The 27,775-nt window shown below is 55.5% G+C and overlaps 1 protein-coding gene across 18 annotated transcripts, besides 3 other annotated features; it reads right to left on the reverse strand.

Moving 5' to 3' along the window:
* Nucleotides 1-27,739, reverse strand: OGDHL (oxoglutarate dehydrogenase L). Of its 18 annotated transcripts, none has more exons than XM_011539946.3 (23): nt 27,693-27,735; nt 23,749-23,953; nt 22,136-22,306; nt 17,998-18,100; nt 17,493-17,608; nt 17,187-17,341; nt 16,199-16,345; nt 15,086-15,176; nt 12,389-12,568; nt 12,110-12,238; nt 11,158-11,337; nt 10,704-10,856; nt 10,010-10,112; nt 9,354-9,482; nt 8,188-8,338; nt 6,070-6,197; nt 5,021-5,199; nt 3,551-3,622; nt 3,307-3,432; nt 3,146-3,218; nt 1,717-1,880; nt 1,383-1,537; nt 1-711 (listed from the first exon to the last, which is right to left on the reverse strand). In XM_011539946.3, exons 2-23 carry the CDS (start codon nt 23,950-23,952, stop codon nt 588-590), a joined length of 3,033 nt encoding a protein of 1,010 aa, XP_011538248.1. In that variant the 5' UTR covers nt 23,953; nt 27,693-27,735; the 3' UTR covers nt 1-587. The 18 variants fall into 18 exon arrangements, 13 of the variants coding, with proteins under 13 accessions (XP_011538248.1, NP_060715.2, NP_001334750.1 ...); NM_018245.3 differs by lacking the exon at nt 27,693-27,735 and adding an exon at nt 27,599-27,683; NM_001347821.2 differs by lacking the exon at nt 27,693-27,735 and adding an exon at nt 27,599-27,683 and having other exon boundaries at nt 21,825-22,306.
* Nucleotides 23,305-23,816: an enhancer, noted in NCBI's record as "H3K4me1 hESC enhancer chr10:50965991-50966502 (GRCh37/hg19 assembly coordinates)". NCBI's record gives its function as "activates a minimal SCP1, AML or CMV promoter by ChIP-STARR-seq in naive H9 embryonic stem cells {active_cell/tissue: H9 hESC(naive)}" and the evidence as "EXISTENCE:reporter gene assay evidence [ECO:0000049][PMID:30033119]".
* Nucleotides 23,817-24,326: an enhancer, noted in NCBI's record as "H3K4me1 hESC enhancer chr10:50966503-50967012 (GRCh37/hg19 assembly coordinates)". NCBI's record gives its function as "activates a minimal SCP1, AML or CMV promoter by ChIP-STARR-seq in naive H9 embryonic stem cells {active_cell/tissue: H9 hESC(naive)}" and the evidence as "EXISTENCE:reporter gene assay evidence [ECO:0000049][PMID:30033119]".
* Nucleotides 27,434-27,643: a silencer, noted in NCBI's record as "silent region_2364". NCBI's record gives its function as "represses an Ori minimal core promoter by ATAC-STARR-seq in GM12878 lymphoblastoid cells {active_cell/tissue: GM12878}" and the evidence as "EXISTENCE:reporter gene assay evidence [ECO:0000049][PMID:35858748]".

Consider the following 27,775-nt stretch of genomic DNA (forward strand, 5'->3'; position numbering starts at 1 on the left):
TCTCTCTGAAGCATGTTTTTATTTCTCTGTGATTTGGTTTTCTACTTTGGTACACATGAGCTGTGGCTGCATTTCACACAGAAGCTGACACATCTCGCAGGAATGCCCCATAAAACAGAGCGCAAACAAATCACCCAGCAGGTTCGCTTCACCTGGCTGTTACTGCTGAACTCCCTACTTCTAAGAGCACAGAAGAGAACATCGCTTTGAATCTACAGATAAGCGAGGGTGGGGCGAGCAGCAGCCAGGGCTGCCGGGATGGGAGCGGCCACAGACACAGGCCCCCGGGTGTCTGTCTTGAGATACAGGTGGAGAAGCCGCCCAAGAAATTCCAGCAAGATGGGAGCAGCTGGGGGATGCTCCAGCACAGTAGCCTGCCTATAGGACTCCTCTGGCTCCCTCAGTCCTGGTAGATTCTGGCATGACACCAAGGCCAGCAGTGCTGGCTCTTGGCCCTGTCACTGTGTCTGTTTTATCCTGGGGCCCCACAGCCCCTCTCCTGGGCAGGAGCTCCGCCCCTCCCCTTTTCATCACCCCCTTGGTCCCCAGCAAACCCACAGCGAGACCTACACAGGTTTTGCCCAGCTCTAAAATGTCTTGCCCTCAAAGGCCTGGAGATTGAAGGCAGTATCCAGAAACTTCTTCAGTGACACCAGGTGAGTGTTCCTGTTTCCTGTGGCTGGTGCAGCCGCTGGGTCCCGGCCAACATACCTGGAGGAGGAGAGACAAGCTAAGGGGAAGGCGGGGCCTAGCCGCCCCCCAACCGCTGCCCTCACTCCGGGACTGCAGGGGGCACGCATCTGAGAACCGCTGACCTCGAAGCCATAGACCCTGCCTTTTGGCCCTGGCACCACTTCCAATGAGCTGCAAAGCCCGGATCAAACTCAGTCACCTAGCCACAGAAGAGTGGGGAGAAACTGTCCCTCCATGTCACTGCACTTGCCCATGAGGACAACAAATGAGGCAACAACTCAAAGACTTTGGGGACAAACATACTTTTGGCTTCTTGGAGTTTCTCAGGACCCTCTCCCATCTTCCCAGGAACACATGATGCCAGTATTGGGAACGCACCATGTGCCAGAGCTAATACATACATCAGATCTAATCTTATCACCGCCCTTTGTAGAGATGCAGGGACTAAGGCTCCAAGGACTACATAACCGGCCTAAGATCTAAGGCAGGAGTTTTGAGACATGTAGCAGGTTCCTTAATACAGTTCTGGCTGCAGAACAAACACAAAGCCAGTACTGATGATGCCCCATCATTGCTCATCACCAGAGAAGGGCAGGGCCAGTTCTGGGTAGCATGGCCTATGGGACAGATGGAGCCAGGACAGAGCCTCAGGGCCGAGGTGAGGGGCAATCAGCGGCCCCACCATGTACCATATGGGCCGTGCGCGCCTCAGGATGGTCATGAAGCGTGGGCTGATGTAGTCATAGTAGCCCATGTTCTTGTGCTCCTCCTGACACCAGGCCAGCTCCGCACCTGGGTACTTCTCTGCCTCCTGCTTGATCAGGTCGAAGGGGAATGGAGAGATCTGGGGAGGCAGAAACAAAGGAGCATAGCCAGAGGAGGGGCGGTATGTCCCCAGCACCCCCGGACAGGAGGCACAGGGCCTCACCGGCCTTCATCTGGCCTGCCTGGCACATTGGCCAGAGCCGGGGCCAGCGACGTGAGCTTGCCCATCACTTGACTGTACAAGGGGTTCAGGCACACCTGCTCCAGGCGCGTGATGGCCACTTTCTCCTCCAGGTCCTGGCTGCTCCGCTCCTTCACCAGGTCATAGTACACCTTTCCCGTGCAGAAGATGAGCCGCTGCACCTGCTCAGGGGCCCGTGCTGCGGCCCCATCTTCAGGAATCACCCGCTGGAAGCTGGTCCCTGAGGGACCAACAGGACATGGCAGAGGCGTTGGTACCCAGAGGGGCTGGGGCAGCTCAGGACCAGGCCTGCATCCCCAGGCTCTCCTTAGCCACTGACACTAACTGCAGGTTTGGACTTGTGGCTGCAGTGGACACCTCTTGAACTAAAAGATGGAGCAGGGGGCAGATGACACCCTGAGCTGTCATAGGGAGAGGGGTGGAGACACCCAAGGGTTGAGCCCTGGAAGCATCACGTTTAAGGTGACCGGAGGTGGGGGTACAATAAGAAGCGCCCTGAAGGAGACAGAGAAGGCAACATGATGGCATCATCCTTTGCCCCAACCTTGCTTCTGCCCAGCTGCGCCCACCTCCTGCAGAGCACTGCAGTCCCCCACCACTAAGCAGATGTCCCAGGAGGCTGCTGCATGCTCCTCCTCTTTCAGCCTGGCAGCTGAGCTTCACCTCCAAGCCCCAACCATTCTTCCTTCCTGAGCCCATGATCCTGACCCCAGGTCACGCACACTGCAAAACCTCTCAGGAAGCTACTGTAGTGTCCTCACATCCCTGCATCTCAGGTGAAGACTCTGGGGTAGAGAGGACAAATGGATCCCAGGCCCTCAAGAGAGAAGCCAGCACAGGGCAGGTAGCCCAGGTAGTCCAGTCCCGACATCAGAGCTCTAACAGCTGCCCACCTGCACAGAGGGGACATCCAAACACACATGGGAGAAAATCCAACCCCTGTCCATGCTGAGGCCCTTCCCAGCCCTCCCTCTACTGCCCAGGACCATTTTCCAAGACAGCTCTGCTCCACCAGCCTCACACCTGTCCTTCCCTGGACATAGTCACCTCTCAGTTGCAACTATAGTGTTTTATCTGATCTGACTCCCAGGGAAATAAGGCCAAAGACTCCTGGAGGGGACACCAGGACCCCAGGGCCTGTAATGTCTGTTTGGCTCATGAATTTTTAAAATGGACAAATGAATGAATGATACTCAATATCTTGCGAACTCAGCAGGCCTCTGCCAGGCCTCGACCAGCCCTGCTAGGGTCTAAGGGGGCCCCAGTGGACTCTACCATGGACGCAACCCACATGACCTGAGCTGGCCCAGGTCAGCCATTGTGCCAACCTCCCAACCCTACTGCTAGTGGGACCATGCCAGGAGCTGCTGCAGGTCAGCAGAGCCACAGGCAGAGGGGAGGTTGGAGAAGCCCCAGAAGCAGAAGCCACACAATGGGCCACCGCCCCATTGTGGGCTACCCCACACACCCAGGCCAGGCACGTACCGGATACCATTTGGTCAAAGCTGGACTTGGCCTCTGGGTGCCTCAGCAGAGATTTAGGTGTGAAGATAATCAGCTGGAAGGGAAATACACGCCCAGCTGCCAGCTGGCCCTGCCTGGCCAGGCCCCCTGCCTGTGACCCCTGCCCTGGGACGGAGACTCACCGGCTTGCGGAAGGGCAGCAGGATCTGCCGGCGCAGCACGTGGAAGTAGTTGGCCGGTGTGGAGCAGTTGACCACGATCCAGTTGCAGTCATAGAGCTGGCTCACCTCGAAGTCCTTGGTGAATGCCTGTGGGGACGAGATGCATATGGCCAGGGTGGCTGTCTGCTGCACCCACACCCTGGACCCCTAGCCCTGTGGGCACAATAGGGCGCGTCCCTGTCCTGGGGACAGCAGCAACACTCACAGGGTAGGCATCCGAGTCATCATTGCTCATCTGCAGGAACCTTTCGGGCCTCGCTGACGAGTGCTCTGGGCCCTGAAAGCAAACGCCAGACAGCCAAGGCTGGACCCCACCATGGGAAAGACATCTGGCCCTGCAGGGACCCCAGGCTCAGGGGAAAGTCTGGAGGGCTTCTCAGCAGAGGTGCCCTCACCCTGGAGCCTGAACCATAGAAAAGAACCAAGAATGTGGAACAAGAGCAGAATGGGAATCCTCAGAGTGGGGTCTGCCCAGAGCTAGCACAGTATGTGAACTTGCAGGGACAGAAGAAAAAGCAAAAAGCCCGCACTGAGACGTGCTTTCTCTGGAATGTCCTGGAACAGTGGCTGCCACTGACTGAGCACCTGCTGTACAGGAGGCAGAGTTCTAGGAATCCCACACGCCTTATCGCTAACCCCCAAAGTAGCCCCATGATGCAGACACTCTTCCCCACTGCACAGATGAAGAGGCAAGGAGAGGGTAAGAAACCACCCATGACCACACAGCCAGGCAGGGGCCAACCCAACTCGGCCTGGGCCTCGCCCACCCTCACCCACACGGACCGCTCTGCTCCATGAAAGCAGCAAGACAAGCCCAGGGGCATCTCCAAGCCAGCTCCTGCAGGACGGGGATGACCCACTGCACAGCTGCCACTTGCCCTCTCTTGGTGGGGACGGCCAAGGACCCAGCCCCCCACACCCAGCCTGGCCCAGATCTGGCCTCCCAAGAAGCTGCCTTCACGGCAGGCAGCCCCAAGCAGGGAGCCTCACCTCCCTCCTCACTGATACCCGGTGTTGTGAGGATGCCGAGTATGCAGCCTGTAAAGTGCTCATAACATGCCACTCAGGGATAATGGTGGCAATGAGCCCCCTGCCTGTCTCCCTTCTGCCTGGTCAGGCCACCTGCCCACCAGATGGTATCACATGACACCCTGCTCCTTCCTCCCTTCCTGCTAGCCCAGGAGCCTCCGGAGGATGCACCCAGCCTGCATGTCTTCCCTCTGCCCCATGTGTGGCTGCAGAGGCAGGTCATACAGGAGGGGACCAGAGAACAGGCAGTACTGCACAGGATAGCTTCAAACCCCAGCTACTAGCTGTGAAACCTTGGGCAACCTACTCCCCAGCTCTGTGCCTCTGTTTCCTCATCTGAAAAGCAGGAACACAGCCTACTTCATTAAGTTGTATGGATTGGAAGAGTTAACATTCAGAAGCATTGAACAGTGCCTGGCGCACAGCAAGCACTCATACGTGGTAGCGCCTTCTGCTGCCAGGGGTAGCATCATCGTCTCAGCAGCTGCAGCATGCACATGTGCAGACCCCACCCTGCACAGACCCACGTGCTCCAGGGGCCTGGAAGGCATATACCGTCCAACCCGACAAGGGGCCCAGGGTCCATCCCGCCCCTTCAAGGCCCGCCAGAACCCACCAAGCCACCAGCCACCACCGCAGCCCTCACCATGCCTTCCATGCCATGGGGCAGCAGCAGCACAATGCCATTATGCCGCACCCACTTGGCCTGGCCGGTGCTGATGAACTGGTCGATGATGCACTGGGCCGTGTTGTGGAAGTCCCCAAACTGGGCCTCCCAGAGGACCAGGGCATTGGGGCTGGCCATGGCATAGCCCAGCTCAAAGCCTAAACAGAAGACAAGATAGAGCTTGCTGCACACAGTCACCAAGTGGCAGTGGCTCCAGTCAAATTTAGCCTTTCTCAGTATATCCTCCATGCCCCCACCCATCCTTCTCACAAGCCAGGACGAACCCAGGGATTCCCTGGGATTCAAAGGGTACAATGTACCATCCTGGGGGCTGACAACATGCTCAGAGATGCTACCCTCAGCCCTGCTATCATGTGTGGTCAGGTTCAACCTTATTTAGGTATCCTGGGGAGGCAACAGGGACCATCTGTCAAGAACTCCTTAAAAACATGCAGAGCTGCTAAGGAGAAGGGGCAGAAACAGCCCTAGAGGCATCTGCCTGGGGGCGGGGGGCTGCCTGGCCTCTAGGGGCAGGCAGTGAGGACGAGGTGAGCCAGCTAATGATGCATCTGAGGGAGAGCATGCACAGGGGACACAGGCAGGGAAGCCCAGAGCCCAGAGAAGGGATCTCAGTGCAGTGTTCCTAGGGTGCAGGGCAGAGGAGGCAAGATGGGGCTCAAAGGAATGTGAGAGGGCTGGGCCAAGACTGGACTGCTCAGCAGCTGGAACCCACAGCAGACTGTGTTGGGCTCTCTGTCTGCGCCCACTGGGGCCCTGATACCCACAAAACCCCTCAAGGCAAGGAGGTCCCCCCAACTGGGATCCCCAAGGGGCCCAGATGGGACACGATTTCACCTCCCACATGGCCTTAGGTGAGGGCAGCCCAATCACCATCCCCCAGGGCCATCCCCTAAGGGCCTCTGAGCATCTCTCGCCCCTCCCAGGCCCTGGCCCCGGTCCCTTCCCAGCCCATCTCTTGTCCCCAGGTGTCTGGGGCCTGCCTGGCCTGCAGGAGAGCGTGGACCCACCCAGGACTCCGTACTCCGAGAGGGAGCTGTTGCACACGGTGTACGGGGCCTGGTCAGGCCAGAGATGATTCATAGGCACACACGTCCTGCGGTCAACCTCCTGGTCATGGAGAACATGGTGCCGGTGACTGCAGAGACACAGACCGGGGCAGGGACAGAGGGCAGGTGGGCTGGCACCTGTTCACCTGGAGCAGGGGAGCTGGGCAGCAGGAGGCAGGCAAGCCTCCGTCACTGTCCCAGGAAACCTGCAGGGTCCCACAACATGGCATCCAAGAAGGCTGTGGAAAACCAGAGCCATGTGGTCCCTCCTGCAGCCTGTCCCCCACCAGGCCTCCCCAGCCTGCCCCCTGCCTGCTAGCAGCGCCCACACACCACGCACTGGGGGGTCTGGGGGAAGGAGCTGTGAGTTGTGGCACCTCTCTGAATGTCAGCTTTTCACCCATAAAGGGGACCTGATAAGACACTTCCCAGGTGCCAGCTAGAGCCAGAGACCCTAGGAGGCCACTTCCCCTGCCCCGTCTTGCTGGCTTCTTTACCATCTCACCAGCCCTGTCCCAACTCACAAGAGGCAGAAACCACCGTGCAGTAGCCGAGGTGGGCACAGTAAGTGAGGGGCGCCTGGCTGAACCCCAGTCCCTGGCAAGGACTGACAGGTAGCTCTGGGTGCATCAGAGGGCCACCTGGGCCCTGGCTGGAGCAAGACCAGCCGAGATAAGCAACCAGGAATGAGAAAGCCAGCTGGTCAAGTCCTGGAAGCCACACCACCCTGGCTTGCTAACCAGGAGCGGACTGAGGCAGGATCTAGAACATTTTAGGAACCCGAACCAGAGGAAATGTGGTGTGGACAACTGACAAGTGTCAAGTCCCCATTTGGATTCACAAAGACAACTGCAAACAAGCAAGATAGGGGCTGACTTAACAGCAGTACACACACACACCACACACATACATACACATGCCACACATACCACACACACATACACATCCCCACACACCAAACACATACATACACACACACCACACACATACATACACACACCACACACACCAAACACCACATACACACACATCACACATACCACACATACATGCAAAACACACCACACACATATACACCACACACATCCATGCACACACACCAAACACCACACACACTACACACACCACACATACCACACACACCACACATACCACACAACACACACACCACACAGACTACACACCACAAACACAATCACACACACCACACACACTACATACACTACACACACACAACCACACACACCCCACAAATACCACACCACACATGCACCAAACATGACACATACCACACATATCACACGCACACCACACTACACACCACACACCCCACACATACCACACAAACACCCTCACACACATTACACACATACACACCCTACACACACACCAAACATACACACACATCACACACACCATACACGCCCCACACACACTATACACACCCCACACACATACGCACACCCCCACAAACCACACACGCACACACCACACATACACCACACATACCCCATACACACTCAACACACAACACACACCACACACACCACAAATGCACCACACCCACCACAAACACCACACACGACACACACCACACATGCACCACACAACACACCACACACCCACAAATACACACCACACCCCCACACACACCACACACACCATACACACATACACACCACACATACAACAAACACACCACACACACGCACCACACACACCCCCTATACACTCCCCCCACTCACCACATACCACACACCACATACACACCAAACACACCACACACACACACCACACACAACTCGCCCACACTCACCACACACCCCCCACACACACATGATCCTGAGGACCACAGATGGCCACCAGCTTGACCTTAGTGGACAGCTTGGGCCCAGCAGTGAGCTCTGCACACTTGCCCTGGGGGGTCAGCGAGGTGGCCATCTGATGATGCCACCTGAGGGCAGGGGCTAGGGATGCTGTGAAGATCCCACCCCAACAAAGGCCCCCTCGGGATCCCCAAGCCAGGCCCAGCTTCTGCTCCAGGTCTCCTGTGCGGATGCTGAGCCCCACTGCGCTCACCTGAATGTGCCCCTCTCCACATCCTGCCCGCTGAGCCGCACGTGGATGCCTTCCTTCAGCAGGGAGCCAAAGGCCATGTACTCTGCCAACGCCCAGTCCACCGTCCGGTTCTTGGTCATGTCCGCACGGCCCCGCAGAATGCGAGAGAGGCCTGTGGGAAAGGAGTGCTGGCCTGAGGGCCAAGGGACAGCCAGCCCTGGGGCGGGTAGGTAGGTGCTCAGCACACACCCCGCACAAAGCAGGGCAGCCATCTGTTGATTTGGTTGGAGGGCAGGGATGCTGCAGGAGGGCCCAGGGCCAGGCACCCCTCCTCCAGCTGAGACAAGGGGCTACCCCGAGCCTGTGGAGGGGTGGAGCAGGTACCACTTGGCAAGCATTGGCCACGTTGCAGACACCGTCAGGCTCAGAGTCATTTACTCAGATCACACAGCTGTCAAGGTACACGGATTTGACTCCAAGTCCCCAGGCTTATGCTGTGCTCCTGTCAGCCCCACACACAGAGGCTAACACACAAACAGAGCGGGCACATGCCCCAAACGCTGTCAGCAGCTGCCCCAGGACATTCGGTCTCGGTGCACACTGTAAGGGAACCCCCTCAGAACTCCCCCAGGTGGGTCAGAGGGTGTGTAGGCACCCCAATACAGCCACAGGGGACCCTCCGGACTTCCCAGGCAAAGGTCACAGTGGCCCCAGCCAAGGGATGCAGTCGGTGACCACCCACATTCTAGTCTCACCCCGGAGTGGGGGGGCTGCCCTCGGTCATTGGTCCAGGCCCCGGCAAGCCACCGTCCTTTCAGCTGCAGAATTCTGCCCACGTTCCAGGCTGCGTTCCAGCCCCTGTATGGGAGCCCTTGCTTTCCTGCTCTTCTGCCTGACCCAGGGACGCCCCGGCAAAGGCATTTGGAAAATCCAAGGTCCCCAACCTAAGACTAGTCACTGGTACCCAGCTGGGAGTGTGGCATCTGGAGCTGCCCAGCTCGCCACGCCCACCCTGAAAAGAGCTACTGTCACGGGCACAGACATGGTGCCGAGAGCTACGTGGACCCACTACAGACTGAGCAGGAATGCGACACACCATCTCTCTTGCATCCCAACCAATCTCCCTTCGAGGCACAGTGTTGGGGTGGGGCCAGCAGCCTGGGCTGCAGCCTGTCCAGCAACCTCACCAGTGTGGATCTTAAAGTCCTCCAGGGGCACAGAGCTGGCCACACTGCCGATGTGGGTGAGCATGTCCTCAGGGATCCCCGTGGCTGGGCATGTCATGCTCTTGGGCTCCCCATCTACGTTGAAGAAGCCTGAGAGGGAGAGAGGCTCTGTCCACACTGTGTCAGTGGTGGGTTCTGATCCCCCTGGCCAGCCTGCCTCCCCAGGACTGAGTGGCCCATGGCTTCCCAAACTCCACCGGCACTCGGACTCACCCTGAGCCCACCCTTGGGACCTGGGACAGCTGGACAGCCACAGCTGCAACTCCCCCACAGGCCCAACACCCACCTCTGGGCCCCAGGGTAACAGCTCTTCTAACCCTGCCCCCCAGGGAGGCCCTCTGAGCACCCTGGCCCCAAGCATCCAGTGCCCAGGGCTTCCTCTCCCACCTGGCTATGCCCTCCCTTTTCAGTGAGCACCTGGCCATCCATGCTCAGAGGGCAATGCTATCCTTGACTTGCAGGAATCGGCCCCACGCAGCTTTGGGGACTCAGTGATAGAGCCTGCAGCCTCTAGACTAGGCAATGACAGCTGTCACCCAGGGCCATTCCAGTCCTGATCCCAGTGCAAGACCTCAAGGCCCAGGGGAGTCCCTCTGAGCCACACACTGCTCGCTCACCAGGCCAGGGGGAGTCCAACCAGTGCTTTATATGCAGAATCTTTTTATCCTTGGACCTGCCATAAGCCTCCTCACAGATCCGGTCGTATTTGGCAATTTCTTCCTGGAATCAGGATGAAGATGTGGACAGAGCACCAAAGCCCTGCGCAGCCAGACGCCCAGTCCACTTGGACTCGTAAGTCCTGGTCCCCATCACCAAGTTCTTCTAGAACTCTCTGTCTCTGGCCTATAGGGACCTCATGGCTAGAAGCCAAAGTCTCAGAGTTCAGGGGATCCTGTACAGGTACCCCGAGGCTGGGCAGGCCTGCAGTGCGCTCAGCAAGGGGCTTGGAGAAGGCTCTGGAAACTTGTAGTCCTTGCCCTCAGAGCTCCATGAAGGTGGAAGGACGAACACTCCATAGATAATTATGGGGACAACCCCAGCTCAGGGCTGCCTCCTACAGGAAGCCTTCCCGCACTCCTGCTCAAGGCTGGACTTCCCCCACATTGCAGTACCCACTGTGTCCCACTTGGCTGTAACTGCATCCTTAGTTCTTGGTCCCCTTTGGTAACTGGGGCCTCTTGGGGACAAGGACCATAGTGGCTACTTCTTTAAATCCTTAGTGCCCAGCACTGGGCTGGTAACATCTACAACCCCTCTCCAGGGTCCCCACCCAAAGTTTGTCTTGGGCGCCCCTGCAGCCTGCCTGCCCACCTCAAACTCCTGCAGGGTGACTGTGCCCTCGGCAATCAGCTTGTCTGCGTACTTCTTCAGCACAGGCACCTGTCTGTGGATCTGCTTGTACATGAGCGGCTGGGTGAACATGGGCTCGTCCATCTCATTGTGGCCACGCCGGCGGTAACAGACCTGCAGGAGCAGCCAGAGGGGCTCAGGCCCTTCCCTACGCTGTGTGGTCAATGTAGCTGCTGCAAAATTGGGGAATATCTGGGTAGGGCACACCCACTGGGAGCCCTTTGAGCTCCACTATCACCTATCACCGAATGAATGTCCCGTCCCAGGCCTTTGCACAGATTGCTCTTGGTGGCATAAATCTCTCATCCAAGAAGCACTCCCAGCCCTGAGTGCTGAAGATGCTGATGACATGGCTGGCTCAGCACAGCAGGGATGGGCCACCCACCCATGCCTTGGCCTCAGTCCCCAGACCCACCAGGTCCACGACAACATCTTTGTTGAAAGTGTTTCTCCATTCGGCTGCCACACTGCACACATATATCACAGCCTCTGGGTCATCGGCATTCACATGGAAGATAGGCGCATTGACCACCCGGGCCACGTCGGTCGGGTATGGTGAGGAGCGGGCCATTCGGGGGTCTGTGGTGAATCCAATCTGCAGAGGCAGGAGAAACCTGCTGCGCCTCTCAATTTACTTAGAGTGAGATAGAAGGTGCCAGCCTTGGAGACTGAGCAGGGGGATGCTCAAGGTCCACTGAGGTGCCCAGGAGGAATGTGGGACACAACAGGGTGATGGTGAGCAGCCCCACAATTAGACACGGCAACAGCTCCCACGGGGACGGCAGCAGCACCAGCCGGGTGGAGCCTGCTCTTTTTCGCCAGTCACTTTGACACACTGGTAGTGAGGAACATAGGCCTGGAAAATCCAGTCCTAACAACGGCTAACTGCAACCTGGGGCAAGGTGCTTACATACCCACAGCCTGTTTCCTCATCTATAAAAAGGGGTCACTTAAATTCCCACCTCACAGGATGTTCAAGGACGATGACGTGACTTAATGCAAACAAGGCAGTGAACACAGGGCTTTCTAGACTCCATATGAGCTGTTAGAAGCTCAGCTGCCTTAGAGAAAGGGCACCAAGGTCCCTGTGTCTAAGATTGCCCATGTGGGGCTGCACACGGCCAGCCTCCATGAGGCACTCGCTACACAGGTGCTCCTTTGGTCCTTCCAGCCCTACTTATCCCTCCCTATTGTGTCTTCCAATTTCACAGACCAGGACACCAAGGCTGGAAAGAGCAGGGTCCTGCCTGGTAAGCAGCACAGCAGTGGGCTCAGAGCCAGGAGCATCTCACTTTCCCCGCAAGCTACTGCCTGGATTTCCAGGGATGCTGACGCTGTGAGGCCCAGCGTGGAGCCTACATGCTCACCTGGTTGTTGACGACGACGTGCACGGTACCATTGGTCGTGTAGGAGGGCAGGTCGCTCAGGTGGAAGGTCTCATATACCACGCCCTGGCCAGCAAAGGCGGCGTCCCCATGAACCAGGATGGACATGACCTGCAGGGCAGGTGTGAGCCAGGAGGGGCTGCGTGCCCCAGCCCATGTAGCCCAGCCGGCACCTGTACTGTGGAGACCCAGGGTCCAGCCCAGCCCTCTGGGCCCACCCTGAAGGGCCCAGGTCCTCTGGGTTCCCCCAGGTGAGCTCACCTTCTTGCCCTGGGCATCTCCACGGTAGAACTGCTCTGCCTTTGTCTTCCCCTGCACCACAGGGTCCACTGCCTCCAGGTGGGAGGGGTTGGCAACCAGCGACAGAGTGATGTTCCGGTTGGTGACGCGGTTGATCCTCTCATGGTACATGCCCAGGTGGTACTTGACATCCCCGGAGCCCTGAAGGTGGAGATGGGAACATGATGGATCCTCCCCTCCCACATCAGACAGGCAGATACACAGGCAGGCACTGCAGCCCACAGTCAGGCTGGCACATTCCCCCGATCCCACTGCCTCAGAGGGCCAAGCTGTCTCTGACCCCTCTCTCCTCATCACACTGCCCCTCCTCACTGGCCTGAGGGAGGAAGGCAGGGACCCCAGGCCTTGGCTCAGAGCCTCTCTGTACACTGACCATGGAGCAGGAGAGCACAAGAGTGGGGAAGGCCATCCAGCGGTGGGGAAGGCAGGGAGAGAAGGGCAGTGCCTAGGCATCAGCGCAGAGACCCTCGGCCAGGCCACCAGCAAACACTGAAGCTGAATCCCCTGACTCCTCACACCAATGGTAGCAATGAGGAACACACAACATTTTATGACCCTGAAGCAAGGAAGACTTACAGCATTCTACACAATATCCTAACACCAGAAAACACAAAAGACACCTAAATTCTAGCAAATTTGCCATGGGGGAGCAAACCCACGCCCAGCGATAGGGGAAACAAATCAAGCTGAGAAAAATATTCATAAACAAATGCAGGCAAAGGGCAAATTCCCTCAATGTACAAAACGCTTTTACAAATCAGGAAGATAAAGCCCAAAAACTCCATAGGAAAATGAGCAAAAGCCACAAGCAGGAATTTACAGAAAAATATGAATGGCTCAAAAGCATGTGAAAAGATAAGCAACTGAATTCATAACAAAGAAATGCATTACAACAAAATCCTCTTTTGAACCTATTATATCGGCAAAGATGAAAGGATTCGAGAGCGTGTAGGAGGAAGTGGGGTGGGGGCTCTGGCACCATCACACACTGTGGATGGGCTCGCTGACATCTGCCAGCTCCTGGGAGGGTCGTTCAGTCCCACCCCCGTAGCTCCAGCCGCTGCACTGCTCGGACACCATCTAACAGATAAACTCGCTCACACATGTGCAAGGACCCTCATGAGAACAACCCAATGTCCAGCACAAGGGATGCTTTAGCTGTAAGAAGCCTGGGGTAGCCCATGTGTGCAGGCAGGAAACAATGACAACTTGTTAAGTGAAAACAGCAAGGTGCCACCCGGTGTCACGGCTATGCCCATGGCCTCTTAGAAATAAGGTTGCACTGGAAAAAGAGGTTTGTTTGTATCAGCATGAAATGTTTCTAGAAGTACACACCTAAACACAACAGAAGCACACAAACAAAATTGGCCACAAGAATGGAGTCTCACTGAGGAACATATTCTCATTGTATAAGCTTTGTTCTGTTTTGTTGTTTTCACAATGATCAAATTTCTTTTTCAGTTGAAAAAAAATAGTAATTTCATTTTAAACATCCTTTGGCCAAGTTTTCCACTATACACACAGGTCATCTTTGACTCATTGCAACCATTCTCGGGCATGCGCTTTTATCCCTGTTTTATGGAAGAGCAAAGTGAGGCTTAGAAGGCTGAAGGTGCTAGAACAAAAGGAACAGGATGTCAGAAAGACCTGGGATAGGAGCCAGTAGGTATGGGTCCACACACACACACACACACACACACACACACACACACACACACGGCAGCAGGCTGGAGACAGCAGGAGAGATAGTCCTGAGGGCAAAGGGACACAGAGGAGGGAGTGACAGGCTCACTGCCCAGGGGACCCAGAGAGCCACCGAAAGGGAAGATGGGCAGGACTTTGAAAGAGGCTAGGCAGTGGCCGGAAGCGGTGGCTCCATGCCTGTAATCCCAGCACTTTGGGAGGCCGAGGCAGGCAGATCACCTGAGGCCAGGAGTTCAAGACCAGCCTGACCAACATGGCAAAACCCCATCTCTACTAAAAATACAAAAATTAGCCGGGCGTGGTGGCGCATGCCTGTAATCCCAGCTGCTTGGAAGGTTGAGGCAGGAGAATCGCTTGAACCCAGGAGGCAGAGGTTGCAGTGAGCCAAGATCATGCCATTGCACTCCAGCCTGGGCAACAAGAGCAAAACCCCATCTCAAAAAGAAAAGGAAAGAAAGAGGCTAGGCAGTATGGGCTGAAGGCCTGGCCCAGGCCTCCCAGGGAGGGGGTGGGAGCAGGAACAACATTTCCTCAGCAGGTCGATGGGTACGGAAAACCATCCTCACCTCCCAAGGCTCTGCTGGGCAAACAAATGAGCAAGGGAGTCATTCCTGGCTGGTGGACAGGACTTTGGACATGGAGGCACAGCCACATGAGCAGAACTGAGCAACTTCCAGCAAGCCTTTGCATCTTTGGGCTTCAGTTTCCCTAGCTCAAAACAGGGAGGTTGACCCAGATTATCTGAGGGCCCTCCCAGCTACCAGAGACTGCAGCCCTTGCTCCAAAAAGCCTTAGGGTCCTCAGGCAAACACCCAGCCTCTCTCCTGCAGGCTTCTCCAATGCATCCATCTTAAGGTTTATCTCAGCCCGGAAGCTCCCGGCTCAGCCCCTCCACAGTCCACCTCCCAAACACCCAGCTCTCCAAGGGTGCCGGGACCTGGGCATGGCACCCACCTCGTCCGCCGCCTCCAGCTTGGGGTCAAACTGGCAGAAGATCTGCTCCAGGTCCTTGCGGATCACGTTGGCCAGCACGTTCAGCCTTCCCCTGGAGCCAGAGGGGCCGGGCTCTCACCTGGCAAAGCCCGCAGGCCTCAGGGTTCCCTCCCCCACTGTGGAGGCCTGGCCTGGCCTAATACAGCCCCTTCGTGCCCAGAGCCCTCCTCAGGCCACCCAATCACCAGGCACCATCCTCTCCTGCTGCTGTAATGGCCCGAGGCTTAAAGCCCCATGCTTTCTTGCTGCCTCAGGCCACTGGGCCAGCTCTGCCTAACTCTCTGACCAGACACTGGGCATTCCCAGGCCCCCCATGACAGACAAACCCCAAAGTCCTGGCAGGCCAGCCACGAATGGGGACCCCTGCACCATGCATTTGGATGCCCTCATGCTGATGTAGCCCTGGGCTAGTCCAACCACAAGCAGCTCTCTGGTCACGGGAAAAGCCCAGGGCCCTTCCCACAGGCCACTCTGCACATCTGCACATGCCCACTCAGCAGGACCCCTGGCCACAGACGTCTCTGTCCCCCAGGGTGCATTCCCCCTCCTGCTTCCCCACAGGCTCCAGCTCAGAGGTAACGCCCCACTGCTGAGCAAGCCTCCTAGATCTTCATCAAGGTCAAGGGAACACGCAGTCAGCTTGCAGCCAGGTCAGAGACCCTCGGCTCACCTCCACAGACCTCCCTGTTGGGGACACAACCCGGGAACAACTGCCCAGGCCCTGCCCTCCCTTCCCTGGAAGAAATCCCTCCACCTCTCCTTGTCCACAGGAACCTCAAGAAGTATAGTGTACCGCTTTCTGAAATCTCACCCTTGCTAGGGACAGAGGCAACATGGCCAGGGAGAGAGGGTGCCTGATAACCTGGTTAGCACCCGGCCCCAGGTGACTCTGGCCAAGTACCCGGCAATTTCTGTGACGAGCAGGCCAGGCCCAGGACTCAGAACTTTCCAGGAAACCCACCTCTACCCCCAGGTCCCACCAACACCTCCGCTCTGATTTCCATCTCATCTCTCCCACCTCTGTCCCCTGGGCTGGAGGAGAATGCGCAAGGCACAGCAGGGAGGGGGACCCACCTGTGTGGCATCCCCAAGATGACATTCTCAATCCCCATCTCGCTGGATTTGTCGATGATGGTCTTGAGGGCAGGAATCATCACTTCACAGCCCTCCAGGCCAAACCGCTTCTCTGAGGACCATTTCCGGGCCAGGAAGTCTTCAAACCTGCTTGGGGAGAGGATGGGAAGAGGAAAGGGAAAGGGATGGAGAGGGAGGGGACTGGGGCTCACAGGGGCTGTTCATGAGTGCTCAGAGCTGAATGCTGAGGACAGAGGAAGTCACAAATCCTCCTTCCACCTACATGGTCCAGGGCCCACCATGGATACACCTGTCCCACCCAGCAAAGGAACACAGGGTTAGGGGAGGCTAGGCATCTTCCCAGCTGAACCAAACGCCTCTGCCTACACCCCTTCCCAGCTGCCGCCCTCTCTCTTCCTCATAGCCAAGCTCCTCCAACAGGCCACTGCCCACCCACTCCTAGCCCACTACCCTCCTGCCACACTCAAGGGCTCTCTTCGCCAAGTCCCAAAGATCTCCACCCAGCCAGATCCAAACTCCAGCCCACACCTCGCTGCTCAGGAATCCACTTTGCATCCAGCAGCTGAGTCAGGTGCTCCCCCAGCCCCTGCAGCCCTGGGGGACCCAGCTTCAGAAAAGTCCAGTGAACAGACAGGTGGTGTGGCCACAGTCACTCCACACCAGGGATAATTTTCTGCCCAAATGTTCCCACAGCCACTTCCCGCCACTTCTGGCCTTGCTCAGTGTCCCCGCTCTCTTGTTCTCCTAGAGCCTCATCCCTGCCCACCTGACCTGCTCTGCCTTGGGCCAGCTCTTGGCCAAACTGCCTAAACACCTGGTCCCAACTCTCCTCCCTGCAGCCAGTGGTGAGGCCGATCCAGTCCTGCCTTCCTGTGGTACCCTCCTGCTCTCTTAGGCAGGGTGTGGGACGTCTCATAGAGCCCTGGAGCAGGACCTCCAGCCACTTGGCCCTCCAGGTGGTGCCAACCTCATGGAGCGCACTAGCCGGGCCAGCAGGGTCCGCTTCTCCTCGCTGGAGAACTGCATCACACCAGGGGTCTCAAACTTCTGCCGGATCCACTGGCACTGCTCCACATCGTTGATGAACATGAACTCCAGGCCAATGTGCTGGCAGTAGGTGTTCTGGGGAGACACATTGGGACCCCATGAGGAGCGGGGAAGAGGGACGGCTGACATCCCTGCTGTCTAGAACAAAAAAGACAGTGCCTTCCCGTCCTCTGGCAAGCTCCAAAGAGCTGCTTCAGCTGCACCCCACACACCCGCCTGTGCTCACCTCCAGGCGCCGAATGATCTCCCGCAGAGAGAGGGTGTTTTCAGAGCCCCCAATGAAGGTGGTTGTCGGCAGCTGGAACTCCTTATCAAGGTCAGCCTCCTGAAGGTCATAGAAGGCTGGAGAAGGAGGCGTGGCCGAGCCCCGGGCAGCAAAGTGGAGGGAGGGAGGTCAGGCCCAGGTGGAGCCCCGCAGTCTCACCAGACCTCCCAGTCTCCCCAGTGCCCTCCCTCTGGGTCCAACCTGGGGAGCAGAAGTGAGAGTGAGCCCAGGGAGGCAGGGTGGACAAGCCTCTCAGGCTTGAACACATGGGGCACAAGCTAGGGAAAGTGGCAGGCATCCTTCTCAGGAACAACAGGCAGTACACAGGCAAGGTAGAAAGGAGGCCCTGTGGGCTGCTCCCCGAGCTCCATGGATTCCCAAGGATCAGGCTGTCCCTAGTGCCCGTGGGCCCCTTACTGGGCCACCCACACAGCACTGCCATGGCCGTCCTGAGGAAGGGTCTTACCCAGTTTATCAATGGTTGTGATCAAGTCTGAGGGCACAAAGGAGTCCAGGTCTGCATCCAGAATGCCCAGGGGGTCCAGCTGGGCCACATGGTGACCCCGGATCTGGGAGGAGGGAAAAGAGCAGGGTGGGGCTGGGACCCAGCTGGACAGACCTCCTCCAGGGTAAGGCTCTGGGCCCCAGCCCCTCTCTTCCCATTCCCGAATGTTAAGCTTCCCCATGTCTCTGCCCCGCGGCTACTTCACTGCTGCCTGCGAGACCCCAGCCACAGCCAGTAAGGTGGCAGGAGCTCAACCTGGTTTGGAAGTACAACATGCACGGGCAAAAACAGGAAAAAGACCTATGCACAAAGGTGTTCACTGCGGTGCTACTAGTAATAGTGAAATTCTAGAAACTTCCCCACTGTCTATCAGCAGGAGACTGGCGCATGGATATGGGCGATCCACACAGCGGAGCACTCCAGAGCCATTAAAAGGAAGAAGAAAAATCCCCATCTGATACTACAAGGTAGTCTCTAAAAAATATTGTTAAGCAAAAAAGCAAATTCTAGCAAAGTATGTATGGTGAACTACACATTATCTAATAAAAAGGAGACACAAATAAATATATGCATTAGAAGGGAAAATCATAAAATTTAAAAAAACCACAACATAAGAAAAATTATCCTCTAGGGGAGGGGACAAAATAGGATAGAGAGGCAGGGCTAGGAGCCAGATTTTTAAGAAGTTATCTTACTTTGAAGATTTGACTTTCAAACCTTGTAAATATTTTACATTCTTATAAAACAAAATTAAGTCTTAAAAATTGAAAGTGAAATGAATCAAATGAATAAATATGTCCACTTAGTGGCATAAATACAGAGAGAAACCATTCCAATTGACTAATGGAACATTCCCTAAAGACAAACAGAAAAAAATTCATCAAGTCTTTTTTATTACCAGTCAGTCGTAATAGTGTTAGAATTGTTATGCTGGCTGGGCACAGTGGCTCACACCTGTAATCCTAGCACTTTGGGAGGCTAAGATGGGTGGATCACCTGAGGTCAAGAGTTCAAGACCAGCCTGACCAACATGGTGAAACCCCATCTCTACTAAAAATACAAAATTAGCTGGGCGTGGCGGCACATGCCTGTAATCCCAGCTACTTGGGAGGATGAGGCAGGAGAATCGCTTGAATCTGGGAAGTGGAGGCTGCAGTGAGCTGAGGTCGCACCACTGCGCTCTAGCCTGGGCTACAAGGAGAAACTCCATCTAAAAAAAAAAAAAAAAAAAAAAAAGAACTGTTATTCTAAGATTGTTGCATGTGAGCTCTGGGAAATCAAACAAGCCATTGTACTGGCATCTTTGAGAACCTCTATTTTTGACATCTCTAAAGGCAATGTTGCCATAAGATTGACAGGGTCAAGGACAAACCCCAAATCCCACATTTGTAGCACGTTAGAAGCATCAGTATAAACCCTTTCCTGGCTCTGATTCCTGAAAGGGCCCAGAAGTAATGATCAAACCAATAGCAGGAAACAGCCAGAGACCTGGACAGTTCTGGAATAGGCAGAAATGTACAAGCTGAGCTTGAAGCATCTTGTTATACCAACATCAAGGCAGTGTTCAAACACCACGAGTGCTGGGAATAAGGACAAGTTTTGAGCAACTATAAGGACAGTATACCTACAGCAGATTGAAACTCATCAAATATGTTTATATTCATGCATTCATATGAATCCAAAAAAAAGAAGATAAACTTTCATTAGTCACTTTTGGAGTGTGCTAGGGAATCACCTCATAATTTTGAAAATCACTGAATAAAAGAAAAAAATAAAGCAGTGATCCTGTCTTTCCTACACAATCTGCACCTCAGGATAAACAGAGTTAACAAACGGAAGTTTCTCCTGATAGTGGGACTTCAGTTAATAAAGAAGGCAAAACAGAATTGGCATATCACCATTTTTGCAACCCCTAGTGAGTTAATGGATCTAGGAAATCACTATCCACAGCTGCTAACTGCTCAAGTGCCATCACCATCACCACCAGGAAGCTGATTTTGAAAAAAAAAAAAATCAAATGTCTATGGGATCGAGCCTCTAGATCTAATTGTCAAAGTACAGAAATTACATGGGACAATGGGACAGATGAAATGACATCATGAGGAAGCCATCAGCAAAATCCAGACTTGGGAAAACCCTACAGGACAAACCACCTGGTTTTTCCACATCATAAAAAGAAACAGAGGGAACCTGCAAAGTACAAGAGACGTAAGAGCCACTTTAGCCTATTGCAACCTGTGGATTTAGCTGGATCCTGCTTCAAAGAAGCAGTAAAAAGAAAGCACAGGCTGGGTGCAATGGCTCACGCTGTAATCCCAGCACTTTGGGAGGCCAAGGCGGGCAGATCACTTGAGGTCAGGAATTCAAGACCAGCCTGGCCAACATGGTGAAACCCCGTCTCCACTGAAAACACAAAAATCAGCCAGGCGTGGTGGCAAGCACCTGTAATCCCAGCTACTCAGGAGGCTGAGCCAGGAGAATCACTTGACCACGTGGGGCAGAGGTTACAGTGAGTCGAGACTGCATCACTGCACTCCAGTCTGGGTGACAGAGTAAAACTCCATCTAAAAAGAAAAAAAGAAAGCACAGGACAAAAGGCAAACACAAATGTCAACTGCATATTTGATATTAGGCATTATTATGTTTAGATGCGATAATGGTATCATGGCACATTTTTTAAGAAGCCCTTTTCTCTAGACATACACAAAGAAATGTTCAATGAATGAAATGCTATATCTGGGATCTGCCTCAAGATAATCAGCAGTGAGCGGGGGCTAAGGGGGAAATTGATGAAACAAGGCTGGCCATGATTGATGGGTGGTGGGCTCACTGCACTATCCTTCTGCCTTTTATATGTTTGAAAATGCTTATAATAATACAGTGTTTTTTTTTCAGCACAGTGTGCAGGTGATTCTAACCACAGCTGTGCCTGCTACTCGCCTGTAAGGGGCTGCAGCCCTCCTGGTGGGAGCTCATCCACACCAGGCACAACAGAGTAACACACCTGAATCCAGAAGCCACCCTGCCAGGAAAACTCTCTAATGCCTCGTCTTGGTTAATCAAAGAACAAAGAGCTACTGAAGGGCTGAGATCTGTGCTTAGAAGATAAGGCCCTCGGGCAGCACCCTGAACGTTTCCCTGTATTTAATATACAGTTTTACATCCTTGTTCTTCATTTTTGAAGTCAAGGGTTAGATCACTGTCTGCTTCTTTCAGCCAGCCAGGAAAGACACAATACACAATAGCTGCTGTTTGCTCCTAGGTGGCCCACAATTGATGGGTCCTCAGGCCAGAAGGGAACCCAACCCTGCTCACCTTCCCTCTTCCATCCCCAGGTGGGTGGTGTACAGGGAACTCTGTTCCATCCCACAGATTGGGCAGCTCATTCAGAGGCAAAGCATCATTTCCATTTGCTAATGCCCCCCTGTACCCTAGCCTTGCTGTGGCTTGCTGCTGCCTCACATTTCCCTGACGGAATACCTCCTGCCAGCAGTTCCCAGAGATATTCCAAATGATTACGCTTGTTATGGCCTGAACACCGCAGCAGTCCTCCAATTAGTCCTGTCTGGTCAAGACCAAAAACACACACCATCACTGGGACTCTGACAGAGCAGGGGCCCAGCATGGGAGAGCCTAAGTCTCCAGGAGGAGCAACTGGTGGGGGAGAATTGTTTACTGAACCATTCATTCCATAAACATGAATTAGGCACCTGCTGTATCAGTCCCTGTTCTCCCAGGATGCCCATTCTAGAGGAGAAAACAGAATTAACAAGGGTTAATCTACTCACCCCTCATTCAACAGGCTTTGGAATTGATCCCTTACTAAGTGCTCCTCCACGTACTCGGGGCATGGTGTGTGCAAGGAACAGACCACAAGGACACAAGTCAGTATGCACAAAAAAAAATTCAAGCAGGTGGTAAGTGCTCTGAATGGTGATGTGGCAAAGACTGGCTAGAGGAGTAGGTGCCGCTCAGTAGAGGACAAGGAGAAGGGCTCTCTGGGGAGATGATGTTGGAGCTGAGACCCCTTCCCTTCAGTGCCTGGCCACACCCCAGGAGCCAGTGCAGCCTCCCAGGCTGTGCCTCAGCTGCCCCTCACCTGGTAGGCCCGGATCAGGGACTGCACAGCCAGGTGGTCCTCCACCAATTTGCTGGTCTTGGTCCGACTTGAGACTGCAGACCTGCTCTCATGGACAACAGAAGGGGGCCGTGGCTGAGCAGAGCCAGAAAAGGCTTCCTCGCTGGCTTCCCTGAAGAAGCTGTCCCAGGACTAGGCAGGGCAGAAACAAGAACGCAGCCAGGTCAGGGCCTGGGAAGAGTCAGGGGTGGCCCAGGCTGGGGCCCCAAGGAGTGTCAGGTCTTCCTTGAGGACCACAGCTCTCAGGGCCTTCCCAGGGTGCCTAGATGTACATACAACGATGTTCCCTGCAGAACTGTTTACAAAAATTGACAATGTGAAAACAACCTACATGGCTATCCATAGAAAACTGGCTAAATAACGATTTTACATTTAGAATCTGGAAGATTACACAGTCTTTTAAAAAGGTGCTTTCAGTATTGTGGACATGGAATATTGCCAAGATACGTTTTAAAGTGAATGAAGCAGAAGAGGATGTATGGCTGCTACTCTCTGTGTAGAAGCAAAAAGCAGATGTGAACACACACAGGCATTTGCATGTGTTTTCCATAAGAACAATGTAAAAGCGCTTTCCTCCGTGCACTCCCATACGGCACTGGTGGGAGACTCAGTTGGTACAATCCCCATGGAAAGCAACTTGGCAATACCCATCAAAATTATACACAGCCACTCCTGGACCCAACTATTCCACTTTGGGGAATTTACCCTACAGATGGCTCTGCAGGTGCAAGATGATGAAGGTGTAAGATGATGCACTGCAGCACTGTTCGCCACAGTCAGAGACTAGAAATGAACCAGATGTCCATCAGCAGGAATAGGGGTGGCACATACATGCAATGGAATACTACACAGCTGGACAGAGTGAATAGTGAGGCTCTTCATGTACTGATATGGAAAGATCTTGGAGATACATCACCAAGCGAAAACAGCAGGGAGCAAAACAGTATGTGTTACAGGTTACTTTTGCGTAAAGGGAGACAAATCCAGAGTTACATTTGCAGTAAGTTTACCTAATGCAAGTCTTGGAAAGGATATAGAGGACACTAAGTTGGGGGACAGTGGGAACTGAGCAGATGAGGATAGATTAGGAGGGAGCTTTCTGACTGTGTAACTTCTTATACCTTCTGGCTTTGGATCATGTGACTGCACTGCTTTCCACTGCAGGTGAAGGGGTCAGAGAACAACTTCACTTTTCACCCTCCCATCTAATTTAATTTTTTTCTTTACTATCAGCAAGTATTTATTTTATCAGATCAATACATACACAAACACGTATGTCCCTAATTACATACAAAGGAGCATATGGAGGCAGCATAGCACGACAAAGGGGGCACGGCAGGGCTCAGGTGTGGCTGAGCAGGACATGGCCAGGGCCTCTCAATCAAAACCACCACCCACTGGCTGATTCAGCAAAGGGAAAGCAACAGGCTTTGATGACTGAGGACCTGAGAGGCAAAGAAACCTGCCCAGGATCACACAGCAGGCAAGCTGCTTCTCCCCACTGCCCTGCCACAGCCCGGCCCCCGAGGGCTTCCCTCCCTTGCGGTGGCCCAGGGTAGGGTGGGGATGCTGACCTTGTGGACACTCTGGGGGTTTTCCAACCAGGCGAAGTACATCTCCTCCATGTAACTGGAGCCGCCTCCACCTTTGCTGCTTGGGAAGGTGGCCGGTGGCCCGGAGGACCTGCTGCGCCAGCCAAACACCGGGACGTCATGTGCAGCCAGGAGCCTCGCAGCCTGTACCCCAAGACGGGACGGCAGCAGCCTCAGCTGACTCATTCTGGACACAGGCAATGAAGGAGAGGCATAAATGGCAGGACCAAGACAGGAAGAGGCTCTACCAAGCCACTGTCCGCTCATCAGCACTTGTCATTCCCACTGGGCAGATGGTGCTGGGCTAGGCAGTGATGAGACTGGGAATGTGACACTCTCCCAGCCCCCTGGGCTTACTGTCTGGTGGAAGCTCCCAGCTCAGTAAACTCTATCAATAGATATCAAACAGCCCTGAGCCCCAGCCCTGCTGTGCCACACTCATCCCAGACCACACTCCTTCCCGGATAGTCCCCAAAGCCTGTGCAGAGACATGAACTCCCCAGGCCCTGCCTCAGGGAGCACCCACCTAGGTCCTGGAGCCCACTCGGAGAGCCACAGGGCAGGTGCAGGGAGTACCACCAAGAAGGAGTGGGTCTCAGGCCCACCACCCTAGAACCAGGGCAGGCAGTCCTCCAGGGGTCAGGTGTGTTGTGCATGGTCAGGGAAAAGCAGGGGCAAAAGCATCCAGTGAGCACAGGTGTCGGGGGTGATAGAGGCACACTATCTCAGGAGGGCTGTGGCTCTAGTCATTGCGACCAAAAGTGACCAGTGACTCCCTGTGACTGCAATCCTGGGCCAGAGTGCCCTCTCTCCCAGGCCCAGCCAGAAGGCTGGTGACACTAGGCCCAACAATAGCCCCACTTCATTGCAGGAAGGGCTAAGGTCTGGAGGGGCAGGAAGAGTAGAATGGAAGGCAGCCCCAGGCCCAGCCCAGCGCCACTCAAGACAGCTAACAGTCCAGGCAGGTACAGACTGGAAGCCCACCCAGACCACGGGGAACCAGGCCCTGCAGCTCATCTCACCTCACTCTGTCACCTGTGCCTTCCCAGGGAAAATATCTAAATCTTGGGCTTTCAGTGATGGGGGCTTTCTCTATTCCGCAGACGGTAAGAGTTCTAAGAGCCCTCTGCCAATCCTGGAGAACCCCCCAGATATCCCTATCCAGGCAGGTTAGGGGTTGATAGGGCCTACTGAGGTCCCAGATCACCCCATACCCCTGCCACCTCATCCTACACATGATGTGTAAAGTGGGACCTCTGTTCCCCACCCTACAACTGTGAGCAGAACCCCTTCCTCTGCTCCAGCACAGCCACTGCCATAGAGCAGCTCCCCATGAATACCAGCTAATGCCCTCCTGCCCAGACCGCCCAGCTTGTAAGCTGGGTGCAAGGACCACCCCACAAGGGGTCGCCCAGGCGGGAGGAGTCCCCTACCCCTGGACAGCTCAGGCCCCAGAAAATGTGCATTCTGGGGTATAACTGGCTTCCAAGTACTGCCCAGGCCAGGCCCTGAGCCAACGCTCCTGGTCAGGTGTGCTCAGCCAACACCTGTTGCACCCTTCTGCCTCACCCCTGCCATCAGCTCAACCATGTCACCAGAAACTCACTGGCTGGACTTTCCACAAAAGGTCAGGCCCCACCAGAGGGCAGGGCACAGCCCTCCTTCTAACTCACATGAGCCAGAGGAAAGGGGTGATGTCACCTCAATGGAGGGAGGACAGGCTCCTGGGGCAACCAGCAGCAAGCCTGAACAGAGAAAATTTTCAAAACAAAAAAGATTCCACTGCAGGGAGGAGGGAGGTGAGCTTGGGAGCCTCTGAGTGCCCCCAAGTTTCCCTCCCCAATGCTCAGCCCCTGAGGCTTCGGGTCATGTGGCCCAGCCCACGAGCCAGTGATGCCAAGCCCTAGAGCGCGGGGCACTTGGGGCCGGCTCCTCTGGGAGCAGCACCTCTCCAAGTGCCAGGCATGAGCTCTGGGGTCAGGCAGCCAGGGTCCCAACTCCTGTTCCACCTCTGACTATCCTAGAGGCCTGGGCAAAGAGAAGGTCGTGCCAGCCCAGCTGGCCACTAGGCCCAGGAGCTCCTGAAGCATCAGGGAGAATCTTCTAGAGCATCAAAAAGAATCCACAACCCAGGACGCTTTATCATCCCCAGTCTATGGCAAAGGAAACTAGATATCAAGACCATCGTCATGGGAATAAACATAATAGGCACCGTCAGGAGCACTGATTCTAGGACAGATACTGTGCTCATTTAATCCTCCCAACATCCCATGGGGTGGGCACTCATATCAGTTCCACTTTATAAACAGAGAAACTGAGGTGCAAGAGGCTAAGCTGGCTAATCTGGTGAGTGACAGGGCTGTGTGGGGTTCCAGCGACTGTGCCCTGATCACTGCAGTCAATATGTAAGCCAGATTTCTCTTAGCGATGCAGTTCCCATCAGCTGAGCCAGAGCTGCTCCCTCTGCCAGCGCCACTCCCACCCCCACAGGGGAATGGGGCAGTTTGGGCCAGATAGGGACAAAGTCTGGCTGTGTCCAGAATGGCCCGGTGCAGGAACACTGTTTTATAAACACTAAACAGTCTGGGTTGGCCACTGGGCACTGTTGTGACCTTGACCCAGCCTGGCAGGAGGGCAGCCTGCCACCCACCCCCACCTGCATCCCAGCAGGGCATGAGGGCTCAGTATCTAGAGCCAGAGCCCAAGCCAGCCCTACTAGTTCCTGCCCATACAGTCAAGGACAGCAACAAGGAGTGAGAGTCAGGTGCCCTGTGCAACCCCCTGCCCAGTCCAGACTCCAGCAGAGTTGCCCTGGGTATCTCTTGGGGGTCTCTTCTCTGAGGACAAGGTCACATAGCATCCCCAACCCAACCTCAGAACCTCAACCCAACCCCAGAAAACTGCCGACACCATGGCCACTAAGACTCCCACACACACAACCCTGTCTGGGGTGCCCTAGTGAGGACTACTCCCTAATGCACCCATTGCAGAGATCAGTAAACAGAGGCCGGGAAGGGTTCTCCCCAGAGGGCCCTCCAAGCTGGGCAGCAGCAGAGCCTGGATTCTCTCAGCAGCAGGTCTACTCTGACCCCACTTTCTGAGAAGCAGATGAGCTTTTGCTCAGCAACAAACCGCAATTCTATTTAGTTGGGGCCTGTTCCAAGACACTGGGGAGGGGCTGCTAGGGCCTGCTTGAGCCAGGTGGCCGAGGGGCGTCAAAGGGTCTCTCCGGTTCGGCGAATGCGTACTGCAGCCTGCTGTGGCCTCGGGATTACCCCGTCCCCCTCCCACATCTCCCGGGGGGCGGAAGAAGCGCATCCCATGCAAGCAGCGACCTCAGGCCATGCCGCCCTCTCTCAGGCCTCAGTTTTCTCATCTGTAATCGGAGACCGCGGTTAAAACCGTCTATTAGGCTCCTTGGTAGTCCGAAGCTGCCTATGGGTCCCGCCAGGTGCACAGCGCTGACCCTCCCCATCCCCCGCACAGCCCTCGCAGCTCCGGGCCCTCCCCTGGCCACGGAAGGCGCGGGGCAGTCTGAAGTCCTCGGGCTGGAGAAACCCACCGCGAGCACCCGCTCCTCTGCGCAGGACCCTGGACTAGCCGGGTGGTACGCGCGCGATGGGCTGGGGGTCCCGGGGGAGGCCACGGCCAGCCAAGGTCAGAGCCAAGGTCACAGTCTGTTCCTCCTCCCCCTCCCCCCGGCGGGGCCAGACTCAGGGCTGCGGGCAGCGGCGCCCCAGGACCCAGGAGAGAGGAGCTGTGGGGCCGGTCCCCAGGACGGCAGGAGAAGCAGCGGCGCAGGGACCGGGAGGGGGCGGGCCGCCGCGCTCACCGGGCGGGCGGGCCGGGTCCGCGCTGCAGCGAGGTCCGGAGGCTGCAGGTCAGGGGGCTGCGCGGAAGGGGTGCGCGCGCGCCGTGCCAATTACCTGGGTCACGTGACGCAGCCGCCCACGGGCGCGCGCCCCTGAGACTCCGCGCGTCGTGACGTCTCCATGGATGCCCCGCCCCG

The sequence above is a fragment of the Homo sapiens genome, chromosome 10, assembly GCF_000001405.40.
Source record: "Homo sapiens chromosome 10, GRCh38.p14 Primary Assembly".
Classification (NCBI taxonomy): domain Eukaryota; kingdom Metazoa; phylum Chordata; class Mammalia; order Primates; family Hominidae; genus Homo; species Homo sapiens.

Excerpts from the sequence above, each read along its gene's own strand:
- OGDHL (XM_011539946.3), bottom strand. The coding sequence starts at position 23,952 with ATGAGTCAGCTGAGGCTGCTGCCGTCCCGTCTTGGGGTACAGGCTGCG. Across the intron at positions 17,609-17,997 it reads CACAACCATTGATAAACTGG|CCTTCTATGACCTTCAGGAG; the intron begins GTAAGACCCTTC and ends CTCCTTCTCCAG. Across the intron at positions 1,881-3,145 it reads CTTTGACCAAATGGTATCCG|GGACCAGCTTCCAGCGGGTG; the intron begins GTACGTGCCTGG and ends TTGGTCCCTCAG.